The 7,524-nt window shown below is 39.5% G+C and overlaps 1 annotated feature.

Annotated features, from left to right (window-relative positions):
- Positions 1,491-2,123: an enhancer, noted in NCBI's record as "H3K27ac-H3K4me1 hESC enhancer chr5:107734886-107735518 (GRCh37/hg19 assembly coordinates)". NCBI's record gives its function as "activates a minimal SCP1, AML or CMV promoter by ChIP-STARR-seq in naive H9 embryonic stem cells {active_cell/tissue: H9 hESC(naive)}" and the evidence as "EXISTENCE:reporter gene assay evidence [ECO:0000049][PMID:30033119]".

Genomic DNA, 7,524 nt, shown 5'->3' with positions numbered 1-7,524 from the left:
CTATAGAAACAATGCTAATGACTGGTTTGCTGTTAATAAATATGTGGGTAAATCTCTGTTTGGGGTTCTCAGCTCTGAAGGCTGTGAGACCCCTGATTTCCCACTTCACATCTCCATATTTCTGTGTGTGTGTCTTTAATTCCTCTAGCGCCACTGGGTTAGGGTCTCCCCAGTCGAGCTGTTCTTGGCACTTTGTCTCTTTTGATCTTTGTTGTTTTAAAGTCTGTTTTATCGGAGACTAGGATTGCAACCCTGCTCAGGTTTGCTTGGTAAATATTCCTCCATCCCTTTATTTTGAGCCTATGTGTGTCTCTGCTCATGAGATGGGTCTCCTCAATACAGCACACCAATGACTCTTTATCCAATCTGCCAGTCTGTGTGTTTTGACTGGGGCATCTAGCCCATTTACATTTAAGGTTAATATTGTTATGTGTGAATTTGATCCTGTCATTATGATGCTAGCTGGTTGTTTTCCCCATTATTTGATGCAGTTTCTTCATAGTGTCAATGTTCTTTACAATTTGGTATGTTTTTGCAGTGGTTGGTACTGGTTGTTCCTTTCCATGTTTAATGCTTCCTTCAGGAGCTCTTGTAAGGCAGGCCTGGTGGTGACAAAATCTCTCAGCATTTGCTTGTCTGTAAAGGATTTTATTTCTAGTTCACTTATGAAGCTTTGTTTGGCTGGATATGAAATTCTGGGTTGAAATTCTTTTCTTTAAGAATGTTGAATGTTGGCTCCCAGTCTCTTCTGGCTTGTAGGCTTTCTGCTGAGAGATCTGCTGTTAATTTGATGGGCTACCCTTAACATTTTTTCCTTCATTTCAACCTTGGTGAATCTGGTGATTATGTGTCTTGGGGTTGCTCTTCTCGAGGAGTATCTTTGTGGTGTTATCTGTATTTCCTGAATTTGAATGTTGGCCTGTCTGGCTAGTTTGGGGAAGTTCTCCTGGATAGTATCTTGAAGAGTGTTTTCCAACTTGGTTCCATTCTCCCCATCACTTTCAGGTACACCAATCAAATGTAGAGTTAGTCTTTTCACATAGTCCCATATTTACTGAAGGCTTTGTTCATTTCTTTTCATTCTTTTTTCTCTAATCTTGTCTTCTTGATTTATTTCATTATGTTGACCTTCAATCTCTCATATCCTTTCTTCCGCTTGATAGATCTGGCTACTGATACTTGAGTATGCTTCACCAAGTTCCTGTGCTGTGTTTTTCAGCTCCATCAAGTCATTCATGTTCTTCTCTAAACTGGTTATTCTAGTTAGTAATTCGTCTAACCTTTTTTCAATGTTTGTAGCTTTTTTGCATTGGGTTAGAACATGCTCCTTTAGCTGGGAGGAGTTTGTTATTACCCACCTTCTGAATCCTACTTCTGTCAATTCATCAAACTCATTCTCCATCCAGTTCTGTTCCCTTGCTGGCAGAGTTGCGATCCTTTGGAGAAGAGGCTTTCTGGTTTTTGCAATTTTCAGCCTTTTTGCCTGGTTTCTCTCCATCTTCGTGTTTATCTACCTTTGGTCTTTGATGTTGGTGACATTCGGATGGGGTCTCTGCGTGGATGTCCTTTTGTTGATGTTGACGCTATTCCTTTCTGTTAGTTTTCCTTCTAACAGTCAGGGCCCTCTGCTGCAGGTCTGCTGGAGTTTGCTGGCGGTCCACTCCAGACCATGTTTGCCCGGGTATCAACCACGGAAGCTGCAGAACAGCAAAAATTGCTGCCAGTTCCTTCCTCTGGAAACTTCGTCCCAGAGAGGCACCCGCCAGATGCCAGCCAGAGCTCTCCTGTATGAGGTGTCTGTCAGCCCCTAGTGGGAGGTGTCTCCCAGTCAGGATACACGGGGGTCAGGGACCCAGTTGAGGAGGCAGTCTGACCCTTATCAGAGCTTGAACGCTGTGTTGGGAGGTCTGCTGCTCTCTTCAGAGCTGCCAGGCAAGGACGTTTAAGTCTGCTGAAGCTGTGCCCACAGCCGCTGCTTTCCCCAGGTGCTCTGTCGCAGGGAGATGGCTGTTTTATCTAAAAGTCCCTGACTGGGGCTGCTGCCTTTTTTTCAGAGATGCCTTGCCCAGATAGGAGGAATCTAGAGAGGCAGTCTGGCCATGTAGGCCTTCCTGAGCTGTGGTGGGCTCCACCCAGTTCGAAATTCCCTTTGGTTTTGTTTACACTGTGAGGGTAAAACTGCCTACTCAAGCCTCAGCAATGGCGATGCCCCTCCCCCCACCAACCTCCAGCATCCCACGTCAACTTCAGACTGTGTTGGTAGTGAGAATTTCAAGACAGTGGATCTTAGCTTGCTGGGTTCCATGGGGTTGGGACACGCTGAGCCAGACCACTTGGCTCCCTGGCTTCAGTCCCTTTTCAGGGGGATTGAAGAGTTCTGTGTCACTGGCATTCCAGGTGCCACTGGGGTATGAAAAAAAAGAAAAAAAAACTCCTGCAGCTAGCTGGATGTCTGCCCAAACAGCCACCCAGTTTTGTGCTTGAAACCCAGGGCCCTGGTGGCGTAGGCACCAGAGGGAATCTCATCGTCTGTGGGTTGTGAAGACTATGAAAAAAGGGCAGTATCTGGGCCAGAGTGCACCATTCCTCATGGCAGAATCCCTCACGACTTCTCTTGGTAGGGGAGGGAAATCCCCAAACCCTTGCACTTCCCGGGTGAGATGGCACCCCACTCTGCCTCACTTTGCCCTCCGTGGGCTGCACCCACTGTCCAACCAGTCCCAATGAGTTGAACCGGGTAACTCAGTTGGAAATGCAGAAACCACCCACCTTCTCCGTGGATCTTGCTGGGAGCTGAAGATTGGAGCTGTTTCTATTCAGCCATCTTGCCAGCAAATCCCCACCCTTTCTCACTATTTGGGACTTTTATTGCTTCTTGGGTATTTTACCACTCTATTAGTTGTAGTAAACTGTTAGTAATTCAAATGACTTTTGATGGTCATGATGCAATTGATTATTTCCCTGTGGAATTCGGAGTTTGATGAATTTTGAATCTATTGAATTCATTTCAGCACTCCAGATTACATCTATTTGTGTCTTCTTTGGAATCTCCTTGATTTGGCTCTTTACCCTTTTCTAGTTCCTTCAATAACTGAGTTAAAACATTCTTTAACATATCTTTATTTTATTTTTTTGTTCAAGATTCATAATTTTACCTTTAAAAACATTTATCCTTTAATAATGAGTTAAGACATACATAATTTATTATAAAAGTCCAGTTATACACTCAGGAAAGTGAGGATAGCTCTGGGATCATTCATGTGATCCAACTATGTGGCAGGGTGTTGGGGATACAATTATGAATATAGAAGACTAGTTCCTTCCTCCCAGAATTTACAACCCAGTGAATTTCCTGGTCCTTTCTATTGATTCATCCATCCACTCACTCTTCTACGCTACAAATGTTTATTGAAGCATACTATTAGTACTACAGCTCAGTCACATTTGGGTTGAATAAACTTTTTCAGTCTAGCCTTCAAGCCTTAAAGACATATTTAACAATGCTGCTGGACCAGGTGTGGTGGCTCACACCTGTAATCCCAGAACTTAGGGAGGCCAAGGCAGGAGAAGCACGAAGTCAAGAGATCGAGACCATCCCGGCCAACATGGTGAAACCCTGTCTCTACTGAATTACAAAAAAACTTAGCCTGGCGTGGTGGTGTGCACCTGTAGTCCCAGCTACTCAGGAGGCTTAGGCAGGGGGAATCACTTGAACCTAGGCGGTGGAGATTGCAGTGAGCTGAGATTGCGCCACTGCACTCCAGCCTGGCGACAGGGTGAGAATCCATCTCAAACAAACAAACAAACAAACAAAAAAATGTTGCTGTAGGAAACTGTGTAATGCATTCCACTCAACATTTTTTGATTAAATAAAAATCTCAGTAACATTTCTCCAGCTTTTTTAAATAGAAGAGGAAAAGGTCCTGCTCTCATAATTCCTTATGACTACAAGACAACTGGCCAGGCGTGGTGGCTCACATCTGTAATCCCAGCACTTTGGGAGGCTGAGGCGGGCAGATCACGAAGTCAGGAGATCGAGACCATCCTGGCTAACACGGTGAAACCCCGTCTCTACTAAAAAATACAAAAAATTAGCTGGGAGTGGTGGCGAGCACCTGTAGTCCCAGCTAATCGAGAGGCTGAGGCAGGAGAATGGCATGAACCTGGGAGGTAGAGCTTGCAGTGAGCCGAGATCGGGCCACTGCACTCCAGCCTGGGTGACAGAGCAAGACTCTGTCTCCAAAATAAATAAATAAATAAATAAATAAATAAATAAATAAATAGTAACAACTTACAAATAAGTTTTTATTCTACTATTTTACTGGGAACTAGATCATGTATGGAATGTATGTACTTATTCAATGATGCTGTTGTTACTGAAAATGTTTCTCAAAATTCTTTGGAATTGCCTTCAAATATACAAGTACACTATTCTGAATACCTCAGTGTAATATTCATCCGTTTAAGGAGGATCCGATTTTAGAAAGGGCCAAAAGTCTTTTGGAAGTAATTTTGGTCTCAGTTTGCAGATAAGACTCTAAAGATAAAAAATAATGTTTTAGATGATCTTTTTTCTGCTTTCCTTGAGTCTTTCACCACAAGAAATATAGGAATCATCCAAAACACTTTTAGCATTTTAAAGTAATATAAAGTATTAATTATAGAGTGCTAAAAGAAATTTCCACTTGGGTCCTTCCAGTCCTGCCCCCCTGCCTCATTTGCCAGTGGGTGCCACTATTAATGATATGAAGTATATTAACGCCAATATACTTCATAACATTACGAAGTATATGAAGATACACAGGAGTTTATAAAGATAGAACTATATGTACTAATCACACATAGATTTTTAAAACCTAGAATCGTGCAATACATATTTGTCTATAATTTTCCTTTTACTCATAGCCATTTACTATGGGCTTCTTTTTGGTCAGAATAAGAAGATTATTATTCATTAGTTTTAAGAGTTATTCAATATTTTTTGTAGTGGCAGATCATAGTTTATTCAACCATTTTCCTACTAATGGTCATTTGTTTTAGTACATTGCCACCGCAAAAAAAAAGAAAGATGTTTCAATGGATATCTTTACATTTATATCTGAATATTCTTGTACTATCATTTCTTTAAGATAAATTCTGGGAAAAACCATATAGGCCTATTTTATTTTAATAGATTTTTCCAATTTGCTTTTTCAAAAGACTGTAGAAGTTATTATTCCTCCCAAATACTCTTGAAGAATATCAGAGAATAGCAGTTTCCACACGCTCACCAACACTGGATTGTATTAATCTTTTAAGTTTTGACAATGTGATGAGGGAAATGGCATCTCACTGTTACAGAAATTTGCATTTTCCTGACCAATAATGAAGTTGAACACATTTTAATGTATTTATTTTTATGTTTTTCTTCAAATATTCCTTTTCATATTTTTGCCCATTTTCCCATTTTATGTTGCTTTTAAATTTTTTATTAATTTCTAGAAGCCCTTTAAATATCAAATATCTAAATATCTCTATTAACTCTTTATTCCATGTAAAACATCCATTTTCTCCCAGTCTTTTGAGTTTGTTCATATGTGTCACTAGCTATGCACAAATGTGGCTGGGCGAAGTGGCCCATGCCTGTAATTCCAGCACTTTGGGAGGCCAAGGTGGGAGGATCCTTCGAGTCCAGGAGTTCAAGACCAGAAATTAGTTGGGTATGGTGGTGTGCACCTGGGGTCCCAGCTACTCAGGAGGCTGAGTCAGGAGGCTTGCTTGAGTGCAGGAGGTGGAGGCTACAGTTAGCCATGATAGTGCCACTGCATTCCAGCCTGGGCAACAGGGTGAGACATTGTCTCAAAAAAACAAAAATGTTTAATTTTTTAAATACAATCAAATCCATTACTCCCCTCTTTAAAATTATAGCTTCCCGGCATTGCTTAGGAAGCAATTTTTTATTTTCTATGAAAAATAATAAAATACTAATTAGCATGTGAAATAGAACAAAAACTTCAGCCTCTAAGTCAAAATGAGAAATCTTATTTTTAAGCCAAAAAAGTAATAACCAATTCAACTCACACAGATTCAAAAATCTAAAAAAATCTATAAACAAAATAACTAGTAAAATATTCAAATAATACAATATGATCACATAAAGTTTATTATAATAATGTGAGGATGGCTTACTAATTAGAAATCTGTTGATGTAATTTATCACATCAGTAGGGCAAAGATTAAAAAATGTATAATTATTAATATAAATGCCCCCAAAATAATGAAATTGTATCCAATTTCCACTGCTGGTTGTTTAAAAAGTACAAAAATAGGAATGCAAGAAAAATAATATTTATCTCAAATAGCCAAAATCACACTTAATTTGGGAAGCACTAGAATCATTAGTTTTTATATTTCAGGTACATGGCACCTTTGCTTCTTTCCTCACTATTATTTGATCTCACTCATTATGCAAATGAGTAAGATTAAGAAAAAGAAATGAAAGTTTCTTTTTTATGAAACTTTATTTATGAAAGTTTATGTAGAAAAATGAGTCAGACTAGAAGATTGGATGATTTCCCACCTAAGAAAATTTTAATTCAAAAGATATAAGAGCTAATAAGCAAATTCATTCACGTGGCTTTTTTTTTTTTTTTTTTTTTTTTTTTTTTTGAGATTGGCATCTTGCTATGTTGCCCAGGCTGTTTTCAAACTCCTGGCCTCAAGCGGTCCTCCTGCCTCAACCTTCCAAAGTGCTGGGATTACAGGTGTGAGCCAACATGCCCAGCTAAAGTGGTTTGTAACAAAATACTTATACAACAAGCACTACATTCCTACATAGCAGTAATTACACTAACTAAACAATATACTAGGAAAAGCACCAATTTCCAGTAGTACAAATGCTATGAAGTAATGAGAAATATTTTTAAATGTCCAGGAAAATGCAATACTTTACTAAGGAACATAAAGCTTTGAGTAAATGTAGAAGTATATCACGTTTCTTAAAGAAATATTACTATTTAAAAATATGTCAGCTGTGCATGGTGGCTCATGCCTGTAATCCCAGTACTTTGGGAGGCCAAAGTGGAAGGGTTGTTTAAGTCTAGGAGTTTCAAATCAGCCTGGGCAACACAGTGAGACCATGTCTCTACAAAAAATTAGGTGAGTGTGGTGGTGTGTGTCTGTGGTCGCAGCTACTTCAGGAGGCTGAGGTGGGAGGACCACTTGAGCCTGGGAGGTCTAGGCTGCAGTGAGCCATAATCCTGTGACTGCACTCCAGCCTGGGCAAAAGAGGGAGGCCCTGTTTCCAAAAAGAAATAAAAATAAAACTATGTTAATTTTCTACAAATTAATTTATAAATCTAATTTAATACTAATCAAAGGTCAAATGAGACACTGACAAAATGATTCTGATATTCATCTGAGAGTCTAAATTGATTAGATGAACCCTGAATATTTTGGAAACATATAAATAATGACTTGATCTATCAGATATAAAAACATTATAAAATTCTAATAACTAAAACAGGATAGTATTGGCATAGGAAC

The sequence above is a fragment of the Homo sapiens genome, chromosome 5 (genome assembly GCF_000001405.40).
Source record: "Homo sapiens chromosome 5, GRCh38.p14 Primary Assembly".
NCBI classification, from domain to species: Eukaryota; Metazoa; Chordata; class Mammalia; order Primates; family Hominidae; genus Homo; species Homo sapiens.
The sequence above is the reverse complement of the archived record's forward strand: the minus strand, read 5'-3'. Positions and strand labels throughout refer to the sequence as shown.